The sequence below is a fragment of the Homo sapiens genome, chromosome X (genome assembly GCF_000001405.40).
Source record: "Homo sapiens chromosome X, GRCh38.p14 Primary Assembly".
Lineage (NCBI taxonomy): Eukaryota > Metazoa > Chordata > Mammalia > Primates > Hominidae > Homo > Homo sapiens.
In genome coordinates this window covers 102512967-102525807 of record NC_000023.11, presented here as the reverse complement: position 1 = coordinate 102525807, position 12841 = coordinate 102512967, and the positions used below count along the sequence as shown (strand labels likewise).

General features: G+C 41.2%; 1 protein-coding gene across 1 annotated transcript; it reads left to right on the top strand.

Annotated features, from left to right (window-relative positions):
* The first annotated feature begins 9068 nt into the window (after positions 1-9068).
* TMSB15A (thymosin beta 15A) lies at positions 9069-12126 on the top strand. Its single transcript, NM_021992.3, has 3 exons — positions 9069-9142; positions 10628-10744; positions 11684-12126. Exons 2-3 carry the CDS (start codon positions 10645-10647, stop codon positions 11719-11721), a joined length of 138 nt encoding a protein of 45 aa, NP_068832.1. The 5' UTR covers positions 9069-9142; positions 10628-10644; the 3' UTR covers positions 11722-12126.
* Positions 12127-12841: the final 715 nt, after the last annotated feature.

The window sequence follows — 12841 nt, the reverse complement described above, 5'->3', positions numbered from 1 at the left end:
TCATCCATGTCTCTGCAAAGTACATTATCACATTCATTTTTATGGCTACATAATATTCCATGGTATGTATGTACCACATTTTCTTTATCCAGTCTATCATTGATGGGCATTTGGGTTGGTTGCATGTCTTTGCTATTGTAAATAGGGCTGCAATAAACATATGTGTGCATGTGTCTTTATAGTAGAATGATTTATATTCCTTTGGGTATATACCCAGTAATGTGGTTGCTGGGTCAAATAGTATTTCTGGTTCTAAATCCTTCAGGAATTACCACCACGTCTTCCACAATGGTTGAACTAATTTACATTCCCACCAACAGTGTAAAAGCTTTCCTAGTTCCCCACAGCCTCACCAGCATCTCTTGTTTCTTGAGTTTTTAATAATCACCATTCTGCCATTCTGACTGGCATGAGATGGTATCTCATTGTGGTTTTGATTTGCATTTCTCAAATGATCAGTGATGTTGAGCTTTTTTTTTCATATGTTTGTTGGCCGCATATTTTCTTTTGAGAAGTGTCTGTTCCTGTTCTTTGCCCACTTTTAGATGGGACTGTTTTTTTCTTGTAAGTTTGTTTAAGTTCCTTGAAGATTCTGGGTATTAGACCTTTGTCAGAAGGGTAGATTGCAAAATTTTTCTCCCATTGTGTAGGTTGCCTGTGCCTGTTCACTCTGCTGATAGATTCTTTTGCTGTGCAGAAGCTCTTTAGTTTAATTAGATCCCATTTGTCAACTTTTGCTTTTGTTGCAATTGCTTTTGACATTTTTGTCATGAAATCTTTGCCCATGCTTATGTCCTGAATGGTATTACCTAGGTTTTCTTCTAGGGCTTTTATGGTTTTGGGTTTTACATTTAAGTCTTTAATCCATCTTGAGTTAATTTTTGTATAAGGTGTAAGGAAGGGGGCCAGTTTCAGTTTTCTGAATAAGGCTAGCCAGTTTTCCCAGAATCCTTTCCCCATTGCTTGTTTTTGTCAGGTTTGTTGAAGATCAGATGGTTGTAGATGTGTGGTGTTATTTCTGAGTTTTCTACTCTGTTCCATTGGTCTATATGTCTGTTTTGGTACCAGGACCATGCTATTTTGGTTACTGTAGCCTTGTAGTATAGTTTGAAGTCAGGTAGCGTGATGCCTCCAGCTTTGTTCTTTTTGCTTAGGATTGTCTTCGCTATAGGGCTCTTTTTTTGTTCCATATGAAATTAAAACTAGTTTTTTTCTAATTCTGTGAAGAATGTCAATGGTAGTTTGATGGGAATAGCACTGAATTTATAAATTACTTTGGGTAGTGTGGCCATTTTCATGATATTGATTCTTCCTATCCCCGAGGATGGACTGTTTTTCCATTTGTTTGTGTCCTCTCTTATTCCCTTGAGCAGTGGTTTGTAGTTCTCCTTGAAGAGGTCCTTCACTTTCCTTGTTAGCTTTATTCCTAGGTATTTTATTCTCTTTGCAGCAATTGTGAATGGGAGTTCATTCATGATTTGGCTCTCTGTTTGTCCATTGTTGGCGTATAGGAAGGCTTGTGATTTTTGCACATTGATTTATTGTGATTTTTGCACATTGATTTTGACTTTGCTGAAATTGCTTATCAACCTAAGGAGTTTTGGGGCTGAGACAATGGGTTTTCTAAATATAGAATCATGTCATCTGCAAAGAGAGACAATTTGACTTCCTCTCTTCCTATTTGAATACGCTTATTTCTTTATCTTGCCTGGTTGCCCTGGCCAGAACTTCCAATACTATGTTAAATAGGAATGGTGAGAGAGGACATCCTTGTCTTCTGCCACTTTTCAAAGGGAATGCTTTAGCTTTTGACCATTCAGTATGATATTGGCTGTGGGTTTGTCATAAATAGCTCTTATTATTTTGAGATATGTTTTATCGATACCTAGTTTATTCAGAGTTTTCAACATGAAGGGATGTTTAATTTTATCAAAGGCCTTTTCTGCATCTATTGAGATAATCCTGTAGTTTTTTTCATTGGTTCTGTTTATGTGATGGATTACATTTATTGATTTGCATATATTGAACCAGCCTTGCATTTCAGGGATGAAGCTGACTTGATTGTGGTGGATAAGCTTTTGATGTGCTGCTGGATTCGGTTTGCCAGTATTTTATTGAGGATTTTTGCATCGATGTTCATCAGGGATATTGGCCTGAAGTTTTCTTTCTTTGTTGTGTCTCTGCCAGGTTTTGGTATCACGATGATGCTGGCTTCATAAAATGAGTCAGGGAGGAGGCCCTCCTTTTCAATTGTTGGGAATAGTTTCAGAAGGAATGGTACCAGCTCCTCTTTGTACCTCTTGTAGAATTCTGCTGTGAATCCGTCTGGTCCTGGGGTTTTTTTTTGGTTGGTAGGTTACTAATTACTGCCTCAACTACAGAACTTTTTATTGAACTATTCAGAGATTCAAATTCTTCCTGGTTTAGTCTTGGGAGAGTGTATGTCTCCAGGAATTTATCCATTTCTTCTAGATTTTCTAGTTTATTTGCATAGAGGTGTTTATAGTATTCTCTGATGGTAGTTCGTACTTCTCTTATCATAGTAGTGATATCCCCTTTATCATTCTTTTATTGTGTCTATTTGATTCTTCTCTCTTTTCTTCTTTATTTTTCTAGCTAGTGGTCTGTGTTGTTGTTTTTTTTTTCCAAAAAACCAGCTCCTGGAATCATTGATTTTTTGAAGGGTTTTTTGTATCTCTATCTCCTTCAGTTCTGCTCTGATCTTAGATATTTCTTGTCTTCTGCTAGCTCTGGGATTTGTTTGCTCTTGCTTCTCCAGCTCTTTGAGTTGTGATGTTAGGATATCAATTTGAGATCTTTCTAGCTTTCCGACATGGACAGTTAGTGCTATAAATTTCCCTCTTAACAGCTGTGTCCCAGAGATTCTCGTACATTGTCTCTTTGTTCAAGTTGGTTTCAAAGAGCTTCTTGATTTCTGCCTTAATTTCATTATTTACCCGGAGTCATTCAGGAGCAGGTTGTTCAACTTCCACATAGTTGTGTGGTTTTGAGTGAGTTTCTTAATCCTGAGTTCCAATTTGATTTCACTCTGGTCTGAGAGACTGTTTTTTATGATTTCAGTTCTTTTGCATTTGCTGAGGAGTGTTTTACTTCCGATTATCTGGTCGATTTTTGAATAAGTGCCATGCAGCACTGAGAAGAATGTATATTCTGTTGATCTGAGATGGAGAGTTCTGTAGATGTCTATTAGGTCCACTTGATCCAGAGCTGAGTTCAAGTCCTGAATATCCTTGTTAATTTTCTGTCTCGTTGATATGTCTAATATTGACAGTGGAGTGTTAATGTCTCCCACTATTATTGTGTGGGAGTATAAGTCTCTTTGTAGGTCTCTAAGAACTTGTTTTATGAATCTAGGATTGTAACCCCTGCTTTTTTTGCTTTCCATTTGCTTGGTAAATTTTCCTCCATCCATTTATTTTGAACCTATGTGTGTCTTTGCACGTGAGATGTGTTTCCTGAATACAACACACCAATGCTTCTTGACCTTTTACCAATTTGCCAGTCTGTGTCTTTTAATTGGGGCATTTAGCCCATTTACATTTAAAGTTAATATTGTTATTTGTGAATTTGATCCTGTCATCATGATGCTATCTGGTTATTTTGCACACTAGTTGATGCAGTTTCTTCATAGTGTCATTGGTCTTTAGGAATAGTAAGGAGGTCATGGATGGGGCAAAGTGAGTGAGGAAGAGAGTAGATAGATGGGTCAGAGAAATGATGGTGAGCCAGAAAATGTGTTTTTTTTTTTTTTTTAAGGAACGTTGACTCTAACTCTGAGGAGAATAAGGTGCCTTTGCAGGACTTTGAGTAGAGGAGCACCATGATTTGATTTATATTTTTAACATAATCACTTTAGGTTCTATGTTGAGAATACAAAAACTAGGGAGCAAGAGCTGAAGTAGAGAGATCTGCCAAAAACTACTCCAGTTATCCAGATGAGATATGATGGTGGATTAGACTTTATGCATACAAATGGAGATGATAAATGGTTAGATTTTGGATGCATTTTGAGTGCAGCCACAATAATTTCCTGATGGATCGGATGTGTAGTGTAAAAGAAAGGGAGGAATTGAGGATGATATCAAGATTTTTGACATGACCATATGGATGATGGAGTTGCCATCAATTGAGATGGGGAAGGCTGTAGGAGGAGTGGGTTTTGGAGAAAAGATTAGTAGTTTAGTGTGTGACATTTTGCATTTGAGATGTCTATAAGACATCTGAGTGGAGGTGCTGAGTAGGCAGTTGTATATATCAGACTGGAGTTTAGGATGCAGATCTGGCCTGCCGACATGAATATAGAAATTGTTAACATAAAAATGTTTTCTATAGCTACTGGACTGGGAGATATCACCAGGGAAGTGTAGATAGAAATGAGTAGAAGAACAGGGACTGAGTCCTGGGTCACTCCCATTTAAACAGGTCTGGGAGAAGAGGAAGAGCTAGTGAGGATGGATAAAATAGGAGAGTGCAGTGTCCTGGAAGCCATGCAATGTAAGTGAAGTGAGAAGAACTCACTCATCAACTATGCCAAATGCTGCTGATAGTTCAAAATGAGGGATTAAGAATTGACCATTGTATTGAGCCATGTGAAAGCCATTCATGACCTTGACAAAAGTAATTTCAGTTGAGTGGAAGAGGTGAATACCTGATTGGAATATGTTCAAGAGAGACCAGGAGAAGAAAAATTGGAAATAGGCAACTGTTAAAAGAGGATGACAGAGTAGTCACACTGGATATCTGAGGAAATAACTTTCTTGACATACAGAATAGATATTGTAAGGGCCCTAACACAATAGTGAGCATGGCTTGTCTGAGGAATAAGAGGGAGGCCACATCTGGAACAGAGGGAATGAGAAATAGAATAGACAGAGAAAATGGAGGATAAGGAAGGATGATTTTTGGGGATCCTTCTTGATGCTAGATTGATGTAGATAGAAAGCCTAGGGGATTGTGGTCTTAGGTCAGGAGTCCTGGTTCAAATAATGCCTTACACTGAACATGAAAACATATATCATATGTAACTGTAAAAGATTTCCATCAAAGGGGAACAAAGAAATGGGGTAATGGTAGGTAGAAGGATTGAAGTCAAGAATATGTACACATAAAAAGAATGTGTGTATATATATAAACATATACACATATATAATAATGTGTGTATAGACAGATAGGTAGATAGATAGGAAATAAGAGTACAATTGTATCCTGAGAGAAACGATACAGTAGAGAGTACAATATTGATGATGCTAGACATAATGGAGAGAAAGATGGTAGCAACGTCACTGAATTGGTTTGAGAGAAAGAGATCTAGTGGGAAAGGAGGGGAACTTTTAGACAGGAGTCTGGAAATTTCATGTATGATATCAACAGGAAAGTCATATATATGTAGGCAGGTGCAGGTAGGTGAAGTGATGTGGTGGTAGGGTTCCGTGATGGTTAATATTAAGTGTCAACTTGATTGGATTGAAGGATGCAAAATATTGTTTCTGGGTGTGTCTGTGAGGGTGTTGCCAGAGGCGATTAACATTTGAGTCAGTGGACTCGGAGAGGCAGACCCACTCTCAATCTGGGTGGGCACCATCCAACTGGCTGCCAGCGTGGCTAGAAAAAGCAGGCAGAAAGTGGAATGAGCAGACCTGCTGAGTCTTCCGGCCTTCATCTTTCTCCCTTGCTAGATGCTTCCTGCCCTCTAACATCAGACTCCAAGTTCTTCGGCTTTTGGACTCTTGGACTTATACTAGCGGTTTGCCAGGGACTCTCGGGCCTTTGGCCACAGACTGAAGGCTGAACTGTTGGCTTCCCTACTTTTGAGGTTTTGGGACTCAGACTGGGTCACTACTGGTTTCCTTGCTCCTCAGCTTGCAGATGGCCTATTGTGGGACTTCACTTTGTGATCATGTGGGTCAATTCTCTTTAATAAACTCCCTTTCATATACATATATCCTATTAGTTCTGTCCCTCTAGAGAACCCTGACTAATATAGGGTCTGTGGAAGTGTTCTTCTGAGGGCTACACTTTTCTAGTATAAATAGAAAGCAAGAGAAGAGTTGGGATGGAGAGGTGGTATAGAGAGTTTGATGGGAGAGAAGCTATGAAGTAGTAAGTTAAAATAGTCAGAAAGTTAAGGACCAGAAGGTCTAAAGAATGAGTGCCTATTAATATTAAGAGTCTGATTTAAGTTAATAGTCATGAATTTAAATTGAAATGAGTCATGTAGTTATGTATTTTCCTTTGGCCAGATTTCTCTTTGTAGGCTCAGGCTTGTTGAAGTGTAGTTGAATTTAGCCAGGGTTGTTATTTTTCCTATGAAGCAATACAAACTGAAAAGGCAGGACAGTGGAGGGTATATGTAGATAAGTGATTGTAAAGACTGAACATGACATTTGAGCTAGGGAAGGAGGGGAGAGAATACAATAAAGGGAAGAAGAGATAGTGAAAATCTGATAAGATCAATGCATTGGAGATTCTGGGGAGACCAAAAGAAAGGTGCAAAATGAGTTAGCTGAAAAGAGAGGAGGTTATGGTCAGAAAGAGGGATGTTTAAAATTGAGATTATGGAGGGTTTCCCATAATTATAGTGACAAGGGCTAGACTATGGCTGTGTGAGTAACTGAGGTGGAGTTGAGGACGATGTTATGGGGGAGAAATGTTCAAGGAACTGAAAACGCCAGTTTGTCAGAATTATCATTCTTGAATTTACCAAGAATTAAAGCAGGACAACTACCTTTGAGAATGACTGTGTTGTAGGAGCTAAAATTTTTGAAAAATGAGTGGGGAATAGTTGAATTTTTATTTTTTATTTTTTATTTTTTGAGACAGAGTCTCACTCTGTCACCCAGGCTGGAGTGCAGTGGTGCTATCTCCGCTCACTGCAAGCTCCGCCTCCCGGGTTCACGCCATTCTCCTGCCTTAGCCTCCCGAGTAGCTGGGACTACAGGCTCCCACCACCACGCCCAGCTAATTTTTTTTGTATTTTTAGTACAGACGGGGTTTCACCGTGTTAGCCAGGATGGTCTCGATCTCCTGACCTTGTGATCCGCCCCCCTCGGCCTCCCACAGTGCTGGGATTACAGGCGTGAGCCACCGCGCCCGGCCGGGAATAGTTGAAATTTGTTATATGTCAACAACAAAGGCTAGTCAATGACATAAGTTGTCAAAAGCTGGAAGTTTTTAGGGGGGTAGGAGGGGAATTGCTATCTAAAGACAGCAATGAGAAGCAGCAAAGTCCCTTACATAAGCTTTAGGATCTGTGGTACAGTGGTGGTAGGAGTGAAAAATCATCTGCTCCTCATGAGTGGGCTTCAGGGGATCTGGAATCCTCATGGAAGGGGAAATTCAGAGAAGAGGCTTAAAATATGGAGGAATTACCGAGGGTGTATTGTGTTTTATTAGTAGAGGAGCGGTGAGAAAAGTGAACTAAAGAGCGGATGTGGACACAACCTTATGGCAGTTAGAATATAGGAGTTGAAGGGTGTCTTGGGGTGACTCGCACAAATGGAGATAAATGTCATCATTAGATAAGTTCTAATGATTCAAGGCAGACCAGGGTGGCAGGATTTTGAGGTTTGGGCTATGGAGGGGTGGTTGTCTGGAGCTTCCTGTCAACCCCAAGTGAAGTAAGGGGTGTGGTCTTAGCCTTGGATCACTTGTTCAAACAATGCTTCATTTTGCTCCTGGAAACAGAAATCACATTAATCTGTAATGACAGAAAAATACGCTGAAAGCTACACATCACATTCAGGATAGGACTACCCCTGGGCAAGTGGGAGGGGGAATGGAAATGAAGTGAAGGTCAAGGAAACCTCAATTTTTTCTGTAACGCTTTTAGTCCTTAAAAGAAAGACAAAGTAAGTATACCTAAATGTTAACAACATTGAAATCTGTGTAGTGAAAACACTGGTGTTTATTATATTTAATGCCAGGAACACTGTAGGTACTCAATGAATATTACTTGTTGAATGAGCATATCTTTCTGTTTTAAAAGTTTCTCCAACAAACATACACAATTCTCAAATTAACACAACGTGCTACAAAAGCAAAGAAAAGGGAATGAAGTAAGCTGGGGAAGCCTTGAGAAATCCTTGTGGAAAGAGTGACTTTCGATCTATATAGATCTATACCACCACACATGGGGTGCAAGCTAAAGACATAGTTCTACCTCCATCTTACCTTAATGCTCTAAGGTTCTGGGTGAGTATCCAGAAAATGATCTTGAACGTTTAGTCCTTTCAAGTAAATACCGAATCCTCAATTTTCTCTTCCAACAGACACTGGGTGGTGCTATTGTCCAAAACTTCCACCCATCACGTATTTATTACTTCAATCTATAGACATCTCCACAACCAATGTGTCTTGTGGGCCAAAGTGCTAGGGATTAGGGATATAAAGGTGAATAGCCTCAGTTGTTCTGTGATTATTATAAACTGCTATCGTGTTCAGTGGCCGAGAAAGCTGCGAATGTGACTTTTACATTTCATAGGAGAGCACTACTGTCACAGAAATGTCCAGTTGTAGGGGTGAATGGCCCTGAACCACCCACCCTCACTATGAGCACCCCTACTCCACGACCTGGCCAAGGATTAGAGCAGACAACACCGAGCCCCACTTCCAACCTACTGTTAGGTTATCACAGCATCCTTGGGCCCCAATGGCTATAAAAAGCCGAAAGAGCCTAAATACCGGTCATTCAGCTTGGACCTCGGAGTTCCAGATGTTCTAAGCTCACTGGGCGAGATGTGTCTGCTTATTGCAGAGGCCTCTGTTATTGTGAAAGAGTGAGTGTAGTCAGGATGAAGGGTATGTGGACCCTCAGGACTAAAGCAGTGGAAGAGGCCTGGGAGGTGGGGCCTGGGGAGGCGGGGTCGGCTCTGACTTCACCAAGCCCCGATCCTAGAGGAGAGGGTGGACGCGGGCTCTGTACACTCAAGCGGAGGAGGGGAAGGGCGGGGTGGGGGGGGGGGGGTGGCGAGCCCGGAAACCTTTGGCCAATCAGAGAGGGCTGGGGCGGGGCCTGCTGGGTGGCTTAGCACTGCAGGGCTCTGCGCGGGAACGCTAACCTGGTCCGGAGCGAGTCTGGGTCTCAGCCCCGCGAACAGCCTTTCACGAGTCTTCAAGCTTTCAGGTGAGGACCTGCGGCCTCGCAGGAGCCAGAGGACCATGGGGATGGGAAGGCGTCAGGGTTGCGAGGCGGGGGATGCCGCGCCTTCGGGAGCCAGAGGAGCCGAGGTTGGGGCTGGCGCTTCGCGTCTGCACCGCCGCCCGGGCGAGCGAGTCCGCGCCTTTGTCTTCCAGGGGGCCGCCTTCTGCGCTCGATGCCGAGCCCTCCTGGGGGCCGGTCCCTGGAAACAAGGCCCCGGGGTTGGGAGGCGGGGAGCGCGGACCCTTAAAGGGACCTGTCCGCAGTAGCTGCAGGTCGGAGGCTTAGAGGATGAGGAGTTTGGAGGCCGCCCGGAATGGGCCCCCTGGGGCTTGGTCCTCATTCCTTCTCCTCCCGTGGCCGTTAGGCTGGGCGCCAGAAAAAGCTAATAGTTATTTTTAAAAGTATGCAAACTGCTCTTGACAGACTGGCCTACGCACCCGGCCCTGCTATTATTTATTTGTTAGTTCCAGTTTTCCAGCTCTGAGCTTGGCGTCTAATGGCTTGGCAGAGGAGGGTCTTAGGGTAAACTCGACGGAATGGAGGCATGTTCGGCACTTCTGGCTGCTTGGGGGCCTCTCCATTCTACCCCAAGCACTAGACATAGTATCTTACTGCACGAGGGTGGGGCTGGGCTTGCGAATGAGAACTCTGCCCTCCGATTTCTGGGATATCCTATTGTCTCTTCTGGACAAACTCGGGACGCTTACAGGGCACCAGGCATTTCGTCAGGTCCACAGCCATGCACCTCTAAGCCTCATCTCTTTACCTCTCTCTTTGCAGAGAAAACATGGTGAAACAAGACTCGCTTTTATTTGGTTTATCCCATTCTGCTGAAGTCCTGGGTTTGATCCTAGTTAGCTGTCCCTTCTTACAACGTTTATACACCAATGCCACAAGGAGCTATTATGAGACGTGTATTGTAATGCCTTAATGTACTGTCATCTTTGGGCATTTAAAATAGAAAGAAATTAGTACAACTTATGCCACTCTTTTTTTTTTTGTGCTGCTCCCCGTCTCCTAAAAAAAAATGCCAAAAAACAAAAGTAATTTAATAGAAAGTGAAGATGCTCGAATAGTGCTATCTCCTGTTACAAAATCATTAACTGGTTAAAGCCAGTCTTTATTTTTTATTCTGTCCCTGTCTGCTCTTGTGCTTCTATCACCTCCATTTTACCCTTGCTGTGATTTTAAGAGTCAGACATATTGGCTCTGGGTTTCTGGAGAATCTTGGTTTCTGGTGCGTTCTGATCCAACGGCATTTACTGCATATCAAAATGGGCTAATGATGTGGAGTTAAAATTATTCTAACAAAAATATAACTTTTCTAAGATCTGTTGCTGTTTTTCTGTTGAAAATGAGCGGGTAGAATATACATTGATATGAAATATGAAAATTTTTGCTTGTGACCCCTTAGTCCGAAGACAGTTCTGCCAGGTAAGTTTTCTTAAAAATGTTTATTCTTTTCAGGCTATCTTCTAGTCAAGATGAGTGATAAGCCAGACTTGTCGGAAGTGGAGAAGTTTGACAGGTCAAAACTGAAGAAAACTAATACTGAAGAAAAAAATACTCTTCCCTCAAAGGAAAGTAAGTCATGGGGGGTTCTAGTGGAAACACACAGTAGAGAAAGTTAATAGGTTCAGTAAATAAACCTATCTTCTAGTAAATTTTTGCCACAAAGTAAGCAATAATTAGAGTACCATGGTGTTTAATGTAACAGTTAAAAACATCAAATAGTCATCTTCCTACTTGGGTTATATAAGTAGTTCTCACATAAGTCTTAATAGGAATGGGGGGGAAAACTAGTTTCTTGTTGGAAAATTACTAAAAACCACCTTAAAAATCAATCTTGGAATATTGGATTTAGCACTAGAAAAATCTTAGTTTTGTTCACTTTATGCTTATTAGACATTTTTCTGCATCCATCAGTTTGGGTCAGTGGTCTTATACCTAAAGATCCATGCAAACTTTGCAGTTTTGGCCTTCTCTACCTGATGATGAGATAAAGACAATGAACAAGTTTAGATCTTGGGTGCACGTAGGGCTCACAGACTCAAGGGATAAGTGATCAGTTTTGCCCTCCAGAAATACAGCCTTCTGGAGAAACTCCAAGTGTTTTTGCAAAAGTTGAGGGGAACTTTTTGTCTTGTTAGCTTTGAGAGTTCCAAAGTTAGTCAAAATTGTCTGAAAAGGTATAACTTCCTAGTTGTATATGGATAGATAAATCCGAAGAAATTGCTTCGTATCTCAGTCTTGAATCATCTAAGAAAAAATGGCAACAGCATGTCTCTATCTCTTAAATGGGAGAAAATCCTCCACAGTTATAGATTGTAGTGAATATTCAGGTAGTTAACACACACACATACATGCACACACCCTAATGTGAGGATTTGTGGTTAATGCCTTGGCATTCTAAATTTAAGGCATGTATGCAGACTTCGATGACTTAGCAAGGAGCTCTTTTGAAAGAAACTGAACTTAATCTTAGGTACATACGGTTAATGATTTTTGTGTTTGTCTTCCCAGCTATCCAGCAAGAGAAAGAGTGTGTTCAAACATCATAAAATGGGGATCGCCTCCCAACAGCAGATTTCGACATTACCTGAGAGTCTTGATTTTAGGCTTGTTTTTTGTAAACCCATGTGTTTGTAGAGATTTTAGGCGTCTTCGGATATCTTCTCACCTATGTTCCCTGGCTAAGAAGTCAGAGGTAGCCAATGTTTCCTTAAATTCATTTTTAAACTTACCATTGGTGCATATGTTCCAGATGGCAGATGCTGTCAATAATCTCACCATTGATGACCTTTGTGTATGTAGTTCTTGCATCCTATACTGGATAAGCCTGTTTTAACCTGCTATGATGGGTGCTTCCATTGCTTCATAATCTTCATGAAGTTGCATGCTTTTGCAGCTTTTCACAGTTTATTTGCATTTCTAATGTAGTAATAAAGTAACCAATATAATCATTATCTTGAGACTCCTGTGGTTGACTCTTGGTGGTCTTCTATGGAACGAAAAGTACACAAGGATATACTTTTCAGCCAAACAGAATGGTTGAAGGAAAACTGTTTTAGCAGATTATTCACGTGGGAAATATTTACTTCTCTCCAGGTCTAGTGAGTCCTGACTTGGGGATGCTAGGTGCTATTTCTTTAGAGTTGGAATCACAGAGTTAGAAAACCTTGGGAAGGGAGGTCATGTGGACTAACCCCTTATCTCAGAATGAAGAAATGAAAATACAAGGTCTGAAGTGATCTGCTCAAGATGAATATTAAAGCGGAGCGCTCTTGCCTTTTGGAAAGTATTTTTCAACTTAATGGAAGGGGACACCCAAGGCTGGGGTTTGATGGGGAAGGGGCCAGAGGCACTTGCTAACATGCACTGTACTAAACACAATATGCCTTCTGTGGAGCATAAACTCGTATCTAATACCTGTTAATGACCTGTAGTAGAGAGCTTCTGGTTTGGTTCTTGTGTAGAACAGAATTTGCTGTCTTATGAACCAAGCATTTTTGGTGTTCACGATGAACATAAGTGCTATGGACTGAATTGTGTACCCCCAAATTTGTATATTGAAGCCCTAACCTCCAGTGTGATTATATCTAGAGGTAGGTTCTCTAGGAAGTAATTCAGATTAAATAAGGTCATAAGGGTCAGGTTCTAATCCAACAGGACTGTAGCCTT

Coding starts and splice junctions, on each gene's coding strand:
- TMSB15A (NM_021992.3), top strand. CDS start 10,645: ATGAGTGATAAGCCAGACTTGTCGGAAGTGGAGAAGTTTGACAGGTCA. Junction 10,745..11,683: donor TACTCTTCCCTCAAAGGAAA/GTAAGTCATGGG, acceptor TTGTCTTCCCAG/CTATCCAGCAAGAGAAAGAG.